This window comes from Homo sapiens, chromosome 2 (genome assembly GCF_000001405.40).
Source record: "Homo sapiens chromosome 2, GRCh38.p14 Primary Assembly".
Lineage (NCBI taxonomy): Eukaryota > Metazoa > Chordata > Mammalia > Primates > Hominidae > Homo > Homo sapiens.
This window is the reverse complement of record NC_000002.12, coordinates 238,257,498-238,275,101: the sequence shown is the minus strand read 5'-3', so window position 1 is coordinate 238,275,101 and position 17,604 is coordinate 238,257,498. Positions and strand designations below refer to the sequence as shown.

The 17,604-nt window shown below is 52.0% G+C and overlaps 1 protein-coding gene across 5 annotated transcripts in view, besides 2 other annotated features; it reads left to right on the top strand.

The window, feature by feature from the left end:
• PER2 (period circadian regulator 2) overlaps positions 1-17,604 on the top strand; it is a 56,022-nt gene that overhangs the window by 24,964 nt on the left and 13,454 nt on the right. For all 5 annotated transcript variants that reach the window (XM_047446232.1, XM_047446231.1, XM_005246111.5 and 2 more), the window contains 12 exons: positions 1,911-2,032; positions 3,589-3,790; positions 6,128-6,179; positions 6,904-7,046; positions 9,512-9,590; positions 12,044-12,150; positions 12,758-12,911; positions 13,265-13,373; positions 14,149-14,274; positions 15,049-15,133; positions 16,458-16,605; positions 16,702-16,826. In XM_047446232.1, the coding sequence (XP_047302188.1) occupies positions 1,911-2,032; positions 3,589-3,790; positions 6,128-6,179; positions 6,904-7,046; positions 9,512-9,590; positions 12,044-12,150; positions 12,758-12,911; positions 13,265-13,373; positions 14,149-14,274; positions 15,049-15,133; positions 16,458-16,605; positions 16,702-16,826 (1,452 nt within the window). The remainder of the gene's footprint in view (positions 1-1,910; positions 2,033-3,588; positions 3,791-6,127; positions 6,180-6,903; positions 7,047-9,511; positions 9,591-12,043; positions 12,151-12,757; positions 12,912-13,264; positions 13,374-14,148; positions 14,275-15,048; positions 15,134-16,457; positions 16,606-16,701; positions 16,827-17,604) is intronic.
• Positions 3,631-4,130: an enhancer, noted in NCBI's record as "H3K4me1 hESC enhancer chr2:239179613-239180112 (GRCh37/hg19 assembly coordinates)". NCBI's record gives its function as "activates a minimal SCP1, AML or CMV promoter by ChIP-STARR-seq in primed H9 embryonic stem cells {active_cell/tissue: H9 hESC(primed)}" and the evidence as "EXISTENCE:reporter gene assay evidence [ECO:0000049][PMID:30033119]".
• Positions 10,819-11,319: an enhancer, noted in NCBI's record as "H3K4me1 hESC enhancer chr2:239172424-239172924 (GRCh37/hg19 assembly coordinates)". NCBI's record gives its function as "activates a minimal SCP1, AML or CMV promoter by ChIP-STARR-seq in naive H9 embryonic stem cells {active_cell/tissue: H9 hESC(naive)}" and the evidence as "EXISTENCE:reporter gene assay evidence [ECO:0000049][PMID:30033119]".

The following is a 17,604-nucleotide window of genomic DNA, read 5'->3' as shown; positions in this document are numbered from 1 at the left end:
ATTATCAGTCGTTTCAAAGCACAGTGTACAGTTAGGGCAAAGTTCTTCACTAGTAATCATGGGTATAAACTCGTATTTGAAGCAGTCTTCATATTTTTAAATGTTTGGGTAGTTTTTCATCAGCAGTGAGCAGGTCATCAGCACTCATCTCTGGGGTCCCTTGAGCCAGGTGTGGAAGGGTTGCTCTGCCATGTGCTAGCTTGGACTCTTGCATTTTTGGGTGTTGGCTTTGGGTGTCCTCTAAGTTTCTCTGCAGGCTCCTCCCTAATCCCACTGTCCATTTTGTGAGGGTTGATACAGACAGAACAAGGTGCCTGGGCTACTCGTCGGTGCTGGTCAGGTCTAAAGATACCGCATGGAAATCCGGTGCCCCTGGGATGAGCACCCCACCATGGAGGGCACCGCTCTGGGCCTGCGTGCCTGTGGAGGCCCCCTTTTCCGGAAGGAGGAGCCAAAGGGAAAGTTCGTTCTGATCAGTTGGGCTGCTCTGTTCTCCAGTGATTATGTCCATTTAAGGTGTTTCCCTGTTGGCCTCTACAGTAACTTCACAGCTCAGAAGCTCTGCCACATGGACATTTTCCACACTTTCCAGCAGTTTATATCTTGATTTCAGAGCATACTCAGAAATGTGCCTGTTTCTGAAATTACTGAAGGTGGCAAAACTGAAAGCATATGAGACCCAGCTGTGGGTCCAAAGGTCTCCTCACCACATTGCAGGAAGCACACGCGTGGCAGAATCCTGGGTCAGACTCGTAACGCAGCCCCAGGTTTCATGTGTCCGGGGCCTGTTGAGCCCTGAGGGCAAGTGGCAGCCTCGAGCTGGCCCCTTTGCTCCCGCCTGGAGTGAGGGCCGCTGTGGCCATGAGCACCGACACCCAGAGACAGGCTTGTCACCCCAGAGCCCGCCGGATACACCCAGGATGACGTGGGAACTCAGATGGAGTGGCCCTCCTCTTCAGATTCTATTTTGAAAACTTTCTTTCAAATGTTTCTTGTGCCTGTTATTTTTTTAAGCAGTCAGTTCTGCCTGGATGGGGGTGTCTGATGGCATCACCCAGGGAGTCAGATGTGCAGGGGTTGCCATGTGGTCCTGTGTGGAAAAGTGAATATACCATCATGATTAAAGACTTTCTAGGGGCCGGGCGCGGTGGCTCACGCCTGTAATCCCAGCACTTTGGGAGGCCGAGGCGGGCAGATCATGAGGTCAAGAGATCGAGACCATCCTGGCCAACATGGTGAAACCCCATCTCTACTAAAAATACAAAAATTAGCTGGGCGTGGTGGCACGTGCCTGTAGTCCCAGCTACTAGGAAGGCTGAGGCAGGAGAATTGCTTGAACCCCTGGGAGGTGGAGGTTGCCGTGAGCTGAGATCGTGCCACTGCACTCCAGCCTGGTGACAGAGCAAGCCTCCATCTCTAAACAAAACAAAAAAGAATAATTAGCTGGGTGTGGTGGCGGGTTCCTGTAATCCCAGCTACTTGGAAGGCTGAGGCAAGAGAATTGCTTGAACCTGGGAGGCGGAAGTTACAGTGAGCCGAGATTGCGCCATTGCACTCTAGCCTGGGTAACAAAAGCAAAACTCCATCTCAAAAAAAAAAAAAAGCCCCTTCTGGAGAACATGAGAGGCAGCTGGAACTCTGCGACCGTATTACCTTAAATAATGTAGTTGCCACTTTTAAAACATTTTATAATCAAAGTCCTTCTGATGTTTCAGGGAAAAATATCCCGATTTCTGTCTGTGAGTTTGTTTTGCCTTCACGTTTCCGTATGTTCTGTGTCCCAGGAAGACGAGATTTATATCCTACCTTTTCATTTGAGAAAAGTAGAGCCCTCAGTTTGTAAGAGCTAGTGACTGTCTCCGGCCAAGCGCTGGGTTCTGCCCACTGAGTGAACACTGTCTCTCCTGCAGCCAATGAAGAGTATTACCAGCTGCTGATGTCCAGCGAGGGTCACCCCTGTGGAGCAGACGTGCCCTCCTACACCGTGGAGGAGATGGAGAGCGTTACCTCTGAGCACATTGTGAAGAATGCCGTAAGCCTCTTTCCGCAAAGTTTCTTTCTAAAATGGCAGGAGTTCCTCCTGCAGGCGAGCTAGCTCAGCACTGCGGCCGGTGGCTGTAAGGCAGGAGTGTTTGGGGTTTCAGCAGATAAGTTCCTACCTTTAAAAGGAAGAATGTGAAGTCAGTGATTCTGGAAGTGGCATTCATGTTCTGGACTTCTGCCTTCTGTGAGACTGTCTTCCTCGTCCCTGACCAACTTTGTCCTGTAGCTCATGGGTGCAAGGGCAAACCCAGTGTGACTGAACTGGGGGGCTCTGGGTTTTCATGTCCTCGAGGTGAGGAGACACACTTGGTGACAGTCAGTTCACTTGTCCAGGGCTTTGCGGTCATGAGGGGGAGCTGGGATTTGAGACTCCAAAGCCCGTGCATTCTTAAGCACACCCAAAGGTGGGCCCCTTGGAGGGCACATGGGCCACATACACACACACCTACTCTACCACTCTGAGTTCTCAGCCGGTGAGAACAGATGTGAGGGCTAGTGGGGATCCCACATGTGCTGGGACCATCATGAAGCTGGCCTCATAACAGGGCTCCCTAATCCTTCCCATCTTCTTCCTCCAGCGTAACCCCCAGGCAGCCCCCAACCCTGAGCCCAGAGGGCCAGCCAGCAGGTAGAGCGCCCATGGTGGGCTGGAGGGGCCCAACCAGAGGCCTCTCCTCCCCAGGAAGCCCCTAGAACCCTGGGAGACAGCAAGGCTGGTGGAGGTTGTTAGGGCAGGCCAAGTGAGCAGAGGGTCCCCCACCTCCCAGTCACCCAGCCTGGACACCAGGTGCCATGTCCAAGACAGCGGGGTGAGTGGCGCCTCCCAGGGGGTGGAGACAGCTGGGGTTTCTTCCAGCCATAGAACCCTGATGTGTTGTTTCAAATAATATCATGCTGGACCTCCCAGTATCTGTAACAGGTGTAAGAGTTAAAGAGGAAAGAAACATGAAACGCAGCTTGGCAGTCAAAGACAGGTTTTCTTTAGTTAAAACCTGAGAGGTACTCCTGGCCGATTTTGGTCAGGAGCGCTTTCTCTTACAGACTGAGAGTATATGTTGGTTTTAGGGTGAGGGGGCTTATCACAAGCTTGGAATGTTTCTGTGTGTGGAGAAGTTTATGGCGGGGCTGGAATCTCTCTGGGAGGAGGGGAGGTTATCTTGGGGCAGGCATCTTTCCGGCCCGGATTGGGGTCATCTCGGGGCTAGTATGTCTCTGGTCCGGGAGGAGTTTGGAATGTTTCTGGTTGGAGATGTTATTTGTGGTTTATGGTCATGTTGACCTTAGCCATTAGGCTGATGCCCTTTGGATGTAGGCTGTTTTTTATTAAGGTGAACTTTAGAATGAGGGGCTTGTCCAAGATGGCGATGCTCCTGCTCTGTCAACAGGCAAGATAGGATTTTTTGGTGAGGGCTAGGCAAGGGAGTCAGAGAGCCCCCCACCTCCAACGCTCCTGGTGGGCGGCTCCCTCCAGCCTGCCTGCCTGAGTCGGATGTGGCGTCCGACACCATCTGACCTTGTCATCAGAGCCCTACTCTTCCTTTTCAGGATATGTTTGCGGTGGCCGTGTCCCTGGTGTCTGGGAAGATCCTGTACATCTCTGACCAGGTTGCATCCATATTTCACTGTAAAAGAGATGCCTTCAGCGATGCCAAGTTTGTGGAGTTCCTGGCGCCTCACGATGTGGGCGTGTTCCACAGTTTCACCTCCCCGTACAAGCTTCCCTTGTGGAGCATGTGCAGTGGAGCAGGTGAGGTTATCGAGGTAGTGCCTTGTTCCCTCTGGGGTCGGGAAAGGGGCCAGGAGCTGGGCCCAACCCAGATGTGGTGCAGGCGCCCTGCCTCACCTTTCAGAGCCCACCTGTGGGGGCCGCCAGCTGCCTGCTCTGGCAAAGGTAAAGGATAAGCAGTTGTTCGTCCCTTCAGAATAAATTTAGAGAAAAAAATAGTCTTTCCATACATTTCAGAGAGAGAAAACCGTTAGGCATTTTAGAAATGAAGTTGTTTGGAAAAGCTGGAATCTTGCTGTGATTGCAGTCGTGGGAGGCCGGGTCGTGGGGGCAGTGGGGAGCGTGAGCAAGGCACCCTGCTCCCTGCACGCAGGCGTCCCCCTGCCACCTTAGCAGCTGCAACCAGTGAGTGGGTCATATCCCAGAGTGACTTCCTGAGGGTTCTTTGCCTTGACCAGGGCTGGCTTTGGGTATACAGACTGTGAGATCCCTGGGCAGATGCCGCTGGCCCCCGAGGCACTGCAGGCCAAGTGTGCTGCACTGTGGATGGCAGCCTTCTTGGCTGCTGGGCCTGCCCCTGTAGCCACCGTCTACCCTGCCTCATTTCCAGGCTCCGCTCCCCAGCCAGGCCCTCCCAGCCGGGTCTGGTCTAGTCCCTGGAGCCAGCTGGGGGTGTGCCTGCCTCTGGGCCTCTGCCGGTGCCTCTGACCCCCACTCTCCTCAGGGCCTCCTGTGCCCCAGCTCTCCTCCCTGCCCAGCTAAGTCAAGGACCAGGTGAATTCTCAGGGGCCTTTCCAAGCTGCTGATTTTATATCATTTTCCGTAACTAGCCATTGCTTCTACTTTCCTAATTTCTTTTGAGTAGATGAAATGTATGAAAGACCTAGATCTAAGATTTTTTTTTTTTTTAGTTTAGATTCCCACGAAAGCAGAGATTTCTGTTTTTTAAATCCCTTTCAACTATTAGGGAAACACCTCTTCCTTCATTTCTGATGAGGTTGCCCAATTGATTTCATATTTTCACTAGACATTTCACATTTTAAAGGAAGTTACTATTTTACCAAAATACCGATGTAAGCCTTGAATGCCAAGTTGTTTCTGTTAGAACTGACTATCCCAAAAATATGTAGCATGAAATGTTTGGGGCTTCTGTTTCACTGTGGCCAGGCCTCTGCACACCTACCCCAAAGTCTGAGGCAGCTGAGAGGCCAAAGAAAGAGGCTGACAAATTCGGTTTCTTAGAAAGAAATATTTAACAGGGACTTAAGAACAGAGGCCATGCATGTTGTGGGTGGCGATGAGACAAGACTGGATCCCAGTCTTGCCATTCCCCCAGACCCAGGGCTTCTGTGGGACTGGCACACCGGCTTCAGAGGGAACCAGTAGGAATTTGCCCTGAGGGCAGGATTTACCTTAAGTACCTGCTCTTACTCAGGGACAGTAGGTAGATGAAATCTCCGAGGCCTTCCCAGAAGTGGGGTTAATCAAAAATCAGCATGGAGGCTTAGCTTCCAAGATATAGCTGCTGTGGCCTCCACAGCTTTCTTTGTCAATGTTCTGGACATCCGTGACTGTGCTCAGTTGTCGGTTAGTTGGTGTGTTTGCAGCAGTGCACCATGAGTGTGCTCAGTTGTAGGTTAGTTGGTGTGTTTGCAGCAGTGCACCGTGTGTTCAGTTGTAGGTTAGTTGGTGTGTTTGCAGCAGTGCACCGTGAGTGTGTTCAGTTGCAGGTTAGTTGGTGTGTTTGCAGCAGTGCACTGTGAGTGTGTTCAGTTGCAGGTTGGTGTGTTTGCAGCAGTGCACCGTGAGTGTGTTCAGTTGCAGGTTGGTGTGTTTGCAGCAGTGCACCGTGAGTGTGTTCAGTTGCAGGTTGGTGTGTTTGCAGCAGTGCACCGTGAGTGTGTTCAGTTGCAGGTTAGTTGGTGTGTTTGCAGCAGTGCACCGTGAGTGTGTTCAGTTGCAGGTTAGTTGGTGTGTTTGCAGCAGTGCACCGTGAGTGTGTTCAGTTGCAGGTTAGTTGGTGTGTTTGCAGCAGTGCACCGTGAGTGTGTTCAGTGGTTAATTAATTGGTGTGTTTGCAGCAACATCATGTGCCATTTTGAAAATGTAAGCCTCCTGGTGCTAAAATTTTAGCACTGCATAATTTGTAATGCACCACACTCATGAAGTCTATGTAATTTTAGTCAAAAATGTAATAGAAGGTTTCTCACATAAAGGATTTACTTTGTGCTTCCATAAATTTTCAGTTTTCACCTTGAATCTTGCTTGATTCTGCTGCTCCTCTTTTGTTTGTGAGAAATGAGGAACACTGTATTTAGTTGTTGGTTTGGATGAATGACTTTGGGCTCTCTCTTTTAGATTCTTTTACTCAAGAATGCATGGAGGAGAAATCTTTCTTTTGCCGTGTCAGGTAAGCCTGGTTCCCAGTTTTCTTAAATTAGAAAACCGTATAAACATTTCACCCCAGCACTGCTCCGCTTGAGGCTGGGGGGCGTGATCCCTGCCTGCAGGGACTCAGCACGCCTGTTTCTGAAGTCTACCAGAAAACACAGTCAGTTACATTTTAAATGTGTACAGGTCGCTAAGAATGCGGCCAGCAGTGGAGTGCTTTAACCTGCCCCTCATGGACCTGCACTTTCTCTCTGTGTCTTGCAAAGGCCTGTACCCCAGGGTCGACAGAGTTTCTGAAAGCACTGCGTCTTTTGGTTGTCTGTGCGTTTTTCTGGGGAGAGACCCGTAGCTTTCCCGACAAGGGTCTTGGTCCAAACCAGGGTGACTGATTGAGCATCCAGCTGCACTGTCAGGAGTGACCCCGAGCCAGACCCTGGCACCCTCAGGAGTCAGGGCCGAGGACCCCTGGCGGGAGCAGCACCCCTTTTCTGTCTGCTTTACCAACCCAGGGTGCAGGCTGCTCCAGGCTGCCCCACTGGTGGGGGTGTTAACTCTGATTTGCCCTTCAGTATGATGGGACTGAGGGAGGGACCGAAGAGGGCAGGGGGCAGGCCCAGCTCCTCAGGCAGAGCAGAGGTACACATCACCTGCAGCATGGCATGGGGCCCAGGTGAGGAGGGAACAGAACAGGGGACTGTTCCTGTGTCACAGTTCCCAACTTAGAGCGTGGCTCTTCTCCGCAGTGTCCGGAAAAGCCACGAGAATGAAATCCGCTACCACCCCTTCCGCATGACGCCCTACCTGGTCAAGGTGCGGGACCAACAAGGTGCTGAGAGTCAGCTTTGCTGCCTTCTGCTGGCAGAGAGAGTGCACTCTGGTTATGAAGGTAACAGCCAAGCCCAGGGCGAGGGCAGATGTTGTCTCTGGCTCCCCCTCAGTTACTCCTGTGGTTCACACATAACATCTGTACGATGGACTCCCCGCTGCAGTTCCCCAGCCTTGGCCTCTCCACCTCACCTTGGGCAGGGTCTCCATCTTTCTGGAGACTCAGCACACCCTGCTTGTCATCCGGCCCTGCCCATGGCAGATCACGGCATCTGGGTGCCAGCATCTCTCACCCCTATCCACACCAGTGCTGTGACCCCTTCTCCCCTTTCCCTGGCTGCTCTGCCTTTTGTCCACAAAGTGGGAACAGCTCTGACAAGTCTGGGGCCCTACATCCTTCCCATCCTCATCCCCTGCCCCATGCCTCAGCCTCATGGGCCCCTGTGAAGGGCACTGATGTCGCTGCCTGCTCCAGAACCCCAAACAGTTCCTCAGTCCCCAAGAAATGAAGTGCTGGGCATCCCTCCCTCCCCACCTTGGCCCATCCTAACTTTTCCTGGAATTTCCCTTCCTCTCAGACAGACATGCACTGACATGACTCTCCAGGTGAGTCAGCCTCCATACAAGGCTTGCTGTGCCTCTGTATGCCCAGCATTCTGGACCACAGTCTCTGCTCCTGCTGCCACCTCACTCACAGAATCCAGCTCACCTCACCTTGACCCTCTTGGTCCATTAGCTCTTCTGGCTACCCCACCCCCAAAATAATATCTGGGCTCTTCTCTTGAAGCTCAGAGGTTACAAGGCATTGTGCCACCTTGATGGGTCCTTCCTGTGGTCCCTCTTAAGAGCCTGCTTTGTGGCACCTTGGTCCTTGTATTGGCCGAAATCCCTGGCCAGGAACTGTAGGTGCTCACCTTGGCTGCTGAGCGAGTCACATGATCTCCAGATTCTCTGAAGGCAGGTGCATTCTGCAACTGCTGAACCCGGGGAAGCCAGCTGAGTCTGCTGTGCTGTGTTCACCACCTTCTCTGTGGTGAATGACAGCTTTTTTTTTTTTTTTTTTTTTTAAGAGATGGAGTCTTGCTCTTTTGCCCAGGCTGGAGTGCAGTGGTGCTATCTTGGCTCACTGCAACCTCCGCCTCCTGGATTCTACAATTCTCCTGCCTCAGCCTCCCAAGTACCTGGGACTACAGGTGGATGCTGCCACACCCAACTAATTTTTTTCTTTTTTTTTGTATTTTAGTAGAGACGGGGTTTCACTGTGTTGCCCAGGCTGGTCTCGAACTCCTGAGCTCAGACAATCCACCTGTCTCGGCCTCCCAAAGTGCTGGGATTACAGGCGCGAGCCACCGCGCCCGGCCAAATGACAGCCTCTTAAAAGTGATAGAAATATTTTAAGTATGTGACTTTCTCTGCAATGTTTTTTGTGTTCCTGCGTGTATTACAGAATGTTCTTTTCCAAATAGTAAGGTTTAGAGAGGGTACTTAGAGTTCAACAAGTTATTCCCCCAAATTACCAGTCTCCTTCAAGAATGAAAATGTTGGAATTTTGAATGTTTTGTCCATGAATTGAGGAAAATTTTGGATATATGACTCACTTTATGCAAATTACTCTATCAGCTTTGTCCACCTTTGTCTAGTTTCTAAACTGTGAAGTTCTCCAGTATAGTGACATTTGCTAAGAAATCTGAATCCAGACCAGGTGCAGTGGCTCATGCCTGTGGTCTGGCACTTTGGGAGGCTGAGGTAGGAGGATCTCTTGAGCCTGGGCATTTGAGACCATCCTGGGCAACATAGTGAGACCCTGTCTCATTAAAAAAAAAAAAAAGAAATTTGAATCCAAGTATGTAACTCATTTTCCTAAAAATAATGTGTCAGATCACTGTAGTTTCATCTTAAACATCATAAAGATGGGGCCGGGCGCAGTGGCTCACGCCTGTAGTCCCAGCACTTTGGGAGGCCAAGGTGGGCGGATCACGAGGTCAGGAGATCGAGACCATCCTGGCCAACACGGTGAAACCCCACCTCAACTAAAAATACAAAAAATTAGCTGGGCGTGGTGGCACACGCCTGTAGTCCCAACTACTGGAGAGGCTGAAGCAGGAGAATCGCTTGAACCTCGGAGGCGGAGGTTGCAATGAGCCGAGATCGTGCCACTGCACTGCAGCCTGGGCAACGCAGCAAGACTCTGTCTCAAAAAAAAAAAAAAAAATCGTAAAGATGGCCTTCCAGCTTTATTTTGCTAAGAGTAGTCTTTACGTGGTCCGTGTGGTTTTGTTAACACGGCAGTTTCGATTTACTAGACTAAAACTAGCATATAAAGAAGCTAAGAAGGCTGGCCAACGATCCCACAACCAGCATAAGGTTCTCAGTGTGGCAGTCTCTGTTGTTCAGAGTCCATGTTTTAATTTTTTTCTTTAGCTGCTCATTACTCTGAATCTACAGGGTGTTTTCTGGTAGTTTTAATATAACATCAAATATGCATTTCTTAGGATCACAAATGTGTGCAATATTCTGTTCTTTCAGCCCCTAGAATTCCTCCTGAAAAGAGAATTTTTACAACCACCCATACACCAAATTGTTTGTTCCAGGATGTGGATGAAAGGTACGTGGTCTTGACCCACCCCCTTTTTCATGTTTTTGATATAAAAGCTATTTAGCCAAAGCCAAGACTGCATCTTGGTTTTATAATTACATGATAATGGACAAAAACATGTAATTATATACAGGCAATGAAATAATTATGGAATTACACTGAAAACTTCCTAAGATATGCACATGGTGTAATTGAGGCTTTCTGGAGAGCTGTTGATCTAATTGAGCCTGTCTTAATTCTCCCATATAAACCCATTCGGAGTGGATAATGGTCCAGACAGAGGCGCTGTTGCCTGGGACCAGTGTCAGGGTGGAAGCCGGAGATGCCATTGGCTGGATCCCAGCAGAAGTCTATCTTCCAGCCTGTGTGCTAGAGGCTTCTCCAGGGGACAGGATTTTCTCCATGCCTCAGAGCCCCACTTGGGTCCCTCTCTCTGGGTCTCCCCCTCAGGGTGCTGTAGCAGGTGCGAACAGTCCCAGTGAGATTTGGGAGCACCCATGTTCTGAGTGGCTTCTGCCCCCACCATGCATCTTCTCCCAGCTCCTCCACAAATGCATGAAGACTCCAAAAACACTTGGGCCGGCTAGGTGCAGTGGCTCACACTTATAATCCTAGCACTCTGAGAAGCTGAGATAGGAGCATCACTTGAGGCCAGGAGTCTGAAACCAGCCTGTTTGAAACCAGGAGTTCAAAACGTAGCAAGACCCTGTCTCTGCAAAATAAAATAAAAATTAGCTGGGTGTGGTGGTGTGCACCTGTAGTCCCAGCTACTCAGAGGCTGAGGCAGGGGGATCACTGAGCCTAGGAGTTCAAGGCTACGGTGAGCTATGATTGCACCACTGCACTCCAGCCTAGGTCACAGCAAAAGACCCTGTCTCAAAAAAATAGAAAGAAAAAAAATGTGTGGGCCACTGGCAGTAGTCACCGAAAAGTGACCTCAGAAGATACCACAGGAAGTGGACCAAGAAGCACCAGTGTGCTGGGTTCCTAAAATGAACCAGGTCACCTAGAAGCTGGAGGATCAAGACCTCTCCCTCCTCTACTCTTGGCCCAGGGACACAGGCCCCCATCCTTGGAGTCAGGGCCACACAGCTTCCTGGGGAGGCTCTATGGGTAAAAAGGGATCCGTCACTTCCAGCTCCAGGTGGCTCAGGTGTGTCCGCGGGGCTGCCTGGGGCAGAGCCAGTTTGCAGATGCAGGCTTCTGGACACCACCCTGCCCTGTGGAACCAGGATCTTGGAGGGCAGGGCCTGGGGCCGTATATGTAAAGCAGCCTCTGGAGACTTTTCTTCCTTCAGAGATCTGAGAACTGTCTCTAACCCACTCCCATGCCAACTTGGTGTCCAGCTCAGCCCTGTGCAGGGAGGTTGGCAGACAGGTTCACCTGGCATGATGGGCCACAGCCTGCAAGCTCTCCTTGATGAAGCCTTGTGTGTGGCCTGGCTCACAAAGCCCAAGGACAGCCAGGGCTCCCCCTCCTCCTCCCCTCCTTCTTTTCACCCTCCACCCCCTTTCTGCTCCCTCCTCTTCCTCCTCCCCCTCTTTTTCCTTCCTGTTCCCCCACTCCTCTCCTCTTCCTTCCTCTTCTTCCTCCTTCAGCAAGGCCTTGATGGGACGGATGCCAGGAACATTCTGTATATCCTGTCCAAAGGAAAACATGAGGCCTGAAGAGAGAGCCTCAGACAAGAAGGAGGAAATCAAAGAATAACGCCAGGCCCTTGAGAAAGTTCTGCACCATGGTCTAAAGATTCACAGGGAAAATCCTTCTACACAAGCAGCAGAGTTTGAGGAAACATTGGTTTGGATGCAACAAGTGTTAAGAGGCAGATCGGGAGAAGAAATGGTCGGTGGAGCCGGCAGAGGGCGCTGGACACAAACAGAAGCAGAAGGTGCTGCTGAAGTTCAGCTCCGTCCTGCAATGGAGCAAAGCCACAGCTCTGGGAGGAGGCATGAGCTCAAAGGGCAGAGGCCCAGCCAGCCACCGAGACTCCAAAGAAGCCACAGTAAACCAACTGGATGCTGAGGCCAAAGTCACACGAGACCAGGCTGGAAAAGAAGCACATACAAAGGGTTTTCCGAGGCCCAGGCAAAACTTGTTAAGCAAAAATCCATGCCAGGTCACATGTGGCCAAACTAATGAATGACACTGAAAAAGAAAAAGATGCTGGAAGGAAGAAAACAAAAGCATGATCATGACTTATCTCTTGGGAGGTGAAACGCAGAGCTGAAGCACTCAGGCCCCAGCAGAGGGAGCCTCCTTCAGCGTCCTGGACAGTGAACCTTCGTTTGCTATTGATTAAAAGTCTAGCTGGTTCTGTTAGTCCAACTTTTGATCTCCGGGGGTGGGGGAGGGGGTGGGGTTTGGAGTGTATCTTCTCTTTCCAGGGAATAAGATGGTTCTTAGTGACAATCTCCTCATCTGTTTGGATGCCAATCCTAGCGTGTGTCTGCTTGCCTTCCAGGGCGGTCCCTCTCCTGGGCTACCTACCTCAGGACCTGATTGAAACCCCAGTGCTCGTGCAGCTCCACCCTAGTGACAGGCCCTTGATGCTGGCCATCCACAAAAAGAGTAGGTCCCCTTTTCATGGTACATCCTGAAGTGTTTGGCGGAAGTTCCTGTGTCCTTGGGGCTGCTTCTTGGGACCAGTCTAGCTCTGACAGGTCAGATCAGCTAAGGACAAGCAGGTGGTAGACGCCCGCCTCGCCGCCTCCCTCCTGGCACTGCAGTGCCCAGTGGAGTCGAGAGAGAGGGGTAAACTCATGTGAGTTCCTTTGTGGCCAGTTGTTTCTCAGTCCGTGGCCTGAGTCCGTAGCATCTTATGTTTACTGTTGGCTTCAGTGGCGCATGGGAGGAGGGGAGACCAGTTCATCTGTGGCTAGGAAGGTTCTCACCAGGCCAGGGGAGTGCACAGTGCATGTCCTCACCAAGCCCAGCCCTCATAGATGCAAGTGACACTAGCAGAGGTGAAACATGGGATGAAACAGCTCCTGCTGGAAACAGCCTCCTGGTAATCTACAGCAAAAACAGGAGGTTGAAAGCAGTGGCTTTGAAGAAGTGTTCATACCCCTACAGTTTGCAAATGATCCTGGGCCTGAGTGACTCTTGACTTGTCTCTCTCTACTATAAATCCTGTTTGCTCCCCTTTTCCCCTGAATGCTGGCTTTTGCTCTCCTAGTCCTGCAGTCAGGCGGGCAGCCTTTCGACTATTCTCCCATTCGGTTTCGCGCCCGGAACGGAGAGTACATCACGTTGGACACCAGCTGGTCCAGCTTCATCAACCCATGGAGCAGGAAAATCTCCTTCATCATTGGGAGGCACAAAGTCAGGGTGTGAGTGCTCCAAGGGCCCGAGGTGGCTCAGGGGTCTTGGGCGGGGGTCTCGGGCTGTCCTCACCTCCCAGCAACAGATGGCATAGGGAGGGGCTGAGAGGCCAAGACCGAAACCTTGCTTCCTGCCACCAATCTGGAGCCCCAGACTGCTAGGCAGGGGTGACCTGTCCTCTGCCCCCAAGTGGGAGGGACCTCATTCAAGCAGAGTAGGGAGTGGACAGGCAGCAGCCTGGGGGGCTGCAGGGGAGAGGCAGAGGGCCCACCCAGGCAGGCAGCATGTAGTGGCTATACAGTCACGCCAGAGAGGTCCTCCTGTGGGGCCCCATCTAACAAGATGAATTAAAACCACGCAGGGGCCCTTTGAATGAGGACGTGTTTGCAGCCCACCCCTGCACAGAGGAGAAGGCCCTGCACCCCAGCATTCAGGAGCTCACAGAGCAGATCCACCGGCTCCTGCTGCAGGTGGGTGTGGTGCCTGCATGTCCTCCTCCCAGGTAGCAGCCTGAGAGCCCCCTGCAGAGGACATAGGCTCTGAACCCTGGTCCTGGCACACCCACTCAGACAGCTTCATCTGTCATTCTCTGAACATCCCCCAGGGGACAGTTTGGGCATAGACTGTGCTAGTCCGAGACAGTCCATAGTACCCTTGGCTCTCTCCAGCCTTGCATTCGACCTTGTCTGAACTGCAGCCCTGAGTGAGTAGCTGAAGGACGTGTGCAGACCCCGTGCTCTGACACAGGCTGCATAGTTCCAGAGTGACCTCTCAGTGGTGCGGGGGCTCATTCTAATCCAGAGCAGTGGGACTTAAGGGAGGGACATTGTACTCAAGGTCCCTAAAAAAAATCAGGCCCACTGCAGTCAACCCCACACCTGAGTAGGCGCCTGCCTGTCAGTTCCCGGAGACTGTGGAGTGAAGCTGTCATCGCATCTTGTTTGTTTTAAACCCATCCACAGAGGCGTGGCTGGCTGCAGCCATGCGTTGATGAGCGGGTTGGACACATTCCTTTGGTGCCGTCTCCTCGGTGACTGCATGTCTGGGTCGGGGCACCGCGGCTGGAGGCCAGGAGTCTACCTCTGGAGCTGACCCTGGGGTTCAAACCTCAGCTCCCCTGGTCTCTGCCATGTAGCCTTAGGCGGGTCGCCATCCTCTCTGCGAAACAGGGTGTGTTGGCAGGGGGCCACATGCATAGCTCAGCAGCCCTGGCTGTGTCTGTAGCGCTGTCTGCTGTCTCCCCAGCCCGTCCCCCACAGCGGCTCCAGTGGCTACGGGAGTCTGGGCAGCAACGGGTCCCACGAGCACCTTATGAGCCAGACCTCCTCCAGCGACAGCAACGGCCATGAGGACTCACGCCGGAGGAGAGCCGTACGTCTCCTTCCATTCTCCCTGAGAAAATGAGTTTGTGGATGTCCCTCCAGAGTTAAAAAGCACACTCAAGACAACCTTTGGCAGTTAGGAGGGGCTTCCTGATTGCAGCTGTTGCTGCTTCCTTTCTAAACTTTGTCCACTTGGGACTTTTTAATCTCTTAAGAGTTGAAAGAGCTAGAAACCATAGCTAAGTGTTGGTTGAAAATTATTTAAAACAGACAAAACAAGCAAAAGTGAAGATTTAACTAGGATAGAAAGAAGAAAATGTGGGCTGGGTGCGGTGATTCACACCTGTAATCCCAGCACTTTGGAAGGCCGAGGCAGGCGGATCACCTAAGGTCAGGAGTTCAAGAACAGCCTGGGCAAGGTGGTGAAACCCCGTCTCTACTAAAAATACAAAAATTGCCTTGCATGGTGGCGCGCCCCTGTAATCCCAGCTACTCGGGAGGCTGAGGCAGGAGAATGGCTTGAACCCGGGAGGCAGAGGTTGCAGAGAGACAAGATTGCGCCACTGCACTCCAGCCTGGGTGACAGAGCAAGACTCTGTCTTAAAAAAAAAAAAAAATGTAATGTGCCGTTTTGCTTTATTTTTTATTATTCTTTAGGATCATCAAATAGGTTTTATCTAGCTCTACACCTGTCAGATTTCTCATCCACAGTTTCCTTCTGTGTTGCTGAAATTATTTCAGCCATCCTCTGTTCTCACTTTGCCGGACAGACTGAAGGAGGTCTCCTAGAATGAATAATGTGTTCATTTTGTTTTTCTTCAAGGAAATTTGTAAAAATGGTAACAAGACCAAAAATAGAAGTCATTATTCTCATGAATCTGGAGAACAAAAGAAAAAATCCGTTACAGGTAAAAAAAAAAATATTCAACATTTCCTTACTGAAACTAGAGTATGGCCACATGAGAAGAGGGAACCTGGGTTAAATGCTGACTCTGGCTGGCAGGGAGTCTACCTTGTAGCCGTGTCACACCCCCTTCTGCGTTCAGCACAGTCTGCAGCTTCCAAGAGGCGAGAGCAGCCCAGTCCTGCACTCAGCCAGTGCAGGCACTGATGTCCACACTGGGCACCTGATGCCCTGCAGGCCTGGCGGGGTGTGGCTAGGTGTGCAGGCCTGGGGAGCTGTGACCAGTGTGCCTTCCTGCACCCTGGCCTGCCAGCAGGGTGTGCCTGGGAGCCACGGCCTGGGCCGCTTGTTCTTGCTGTACAGAGTAGCTGTATGGCTGTGTGTTTACACTTGCAAACCCTTCACTCACACACACACACAACTGCCGACGGTTTGCCCAGCATCCACATACACTCAAACCAAACCTGTCTGAAGTGGGGAGTACCACCCAGGGGCTGCCGACCCACCCCCACTGCAGCAGCCCTTTCCTACCACAGCGCCACACTTCCCAGGCAGCTTCACAGTGTCATGCGCGGGTTCAGATTCATGCTGCTCCTCTGTCCCGCATGTATTTCTCACACAGCATGCACACAGACACGTGTGCACACATGCATGCATCCCAGTCCCCTCCCCCTGGTGGGCCCTTGCTCATTCTCTGTGCTCAGGCCGAAGCCTCCCGTGGGGAACACTCTGGCCAGACACCGCTAGGACTTTTGGCCTTGGGGATGTGTTGGTGGACATGCTGCCTGCTGGACTCTGTGCTGGGTGTTGGGGACACGCTAATGAGCTGGACACAGCTCTTTGCTTGAGGGTCCCTAGGGGACAGGCATGTGATGAATGTCGTTGGGGCAAGAGTCGAATCTGCAGCACAGTGAGCAGGCAGTTGTCATCATAATTGTTACTAGCAGGGATCACCTTGAAAACACTGGCCTGGCCCAGGAGGAGCATAAAGTACGTGGGCTCTCATTGGCCCTGAAAGTTTAAGAGTTCAAGTGAGAACTGCTGTCTCCCACTGCTGAGTCCCTGACCCCTGGGGACAGCCTAGACCCCAGAGAGAAGCAGACACCAGGCTGGGCAGCAGCTCCCCCCCCAGGTCTCTCTGTGGACGGCACTGTGGTGCTCGTGCCCACAGGGCTGCCAGATGCCAGGCTGTCCCCAGGCTTCCATACTCATGAAGCAGATTCTGAGTCCCCAGCCCTGTCTTCAGGTAGAACGAAAATGCTTTGTAAATACACAGCGTTTTCTGTGGGAGAAAAATGAATGAAAGAACAATTTTGCCATTCCTTCAGAAATGCAAACTAATCCCCCAGCTGAGAAGAAAGCTGTCCCTGCCATGGAAAAGGACAGCCTGGGGGTCAGCTTCCCCGAGGAGTTGGCCTGCAAGAACCAGCCCACCTGCTCCTACCAGCAGATCAGCTGCTTGGACAGCGTCATCAGGTATGCCGGCATTTCCAGCCGAGTCTCCACCATCTCACACACCTTCCCTCCTCTCATGTTGTGTGGCCTCACCAGTGGTTCATGCCTTTCACACAGGTACTTGGAGAGCTGCAATGAGGCTGCCACCCTGAAGAGGAAATGCGAGTTCCCAGCAAACGTCCCAGCGCTAAGGTCCAGTGATAAGCGGAAGGCCACAGTCAGCCCAGGGCCACACGCTGGAGGTATCTAATCTGTGTAGAGCCATGTACATGTGAAATAATGTAAATCCTCTGGAGTAGAGTCAGACGTCCCCATGGCTTCTGTGGACACAGTGTAAGGGTGTAGGCTGTTTTTCAAATGATGAAAGTAGTTCAAAAGTCAGCACCCTTCTTAGGAACTAGAGGCAAAGATGGTTCTGTCAGAGCCTTGGCTTTGAGAACAGGAAGCCAGTGGGGCTACTGGAGGCCTGGGGCCGTCCCCTGACCCCCCTCATGCAGACACACTGCAGGGACATCTCCTGGTCCCCTTCATGCGGCCACACTGAGGGGCCGTCTGCTGACCCCCTCATGCAGCCACACTGGTCTCAAGTTGTCAGTCTAGGGCAGGCCCTCTTTCCAGTGTGTCTCAGAGGGGCCCTTGGCCTGAATGTTAACATGGCCCATAAATCACATTAAATCCCAGGCTGCTTAACACAACGCTGTCAGTGTTGCTGATGTTCACCACCAGGATTAGAAATGGTACCCCGGCTGGGCGCGGTGGCTCACGCCTGTAATCCCAGCACTTTGGGAGGCCGAGGTGGGTGGATCACTTGAGGTCAGGAGTTCAAGACCAGCCTGGCCAACATGGTGAAACCCCATCTCTACTAAAAATACAAAAATTAGCCAGGCATCATGGTGCATGCCTGTAATCCCAGCTACTTGGGAGGCTGAGGCAGGAGAATGGCTTGTACCTGGCAGGCGGAGGTTGCAGTGAGCCAAGATTGCATCACTGCACTCCAGCCTGGGTGACAGAGCGAGACTC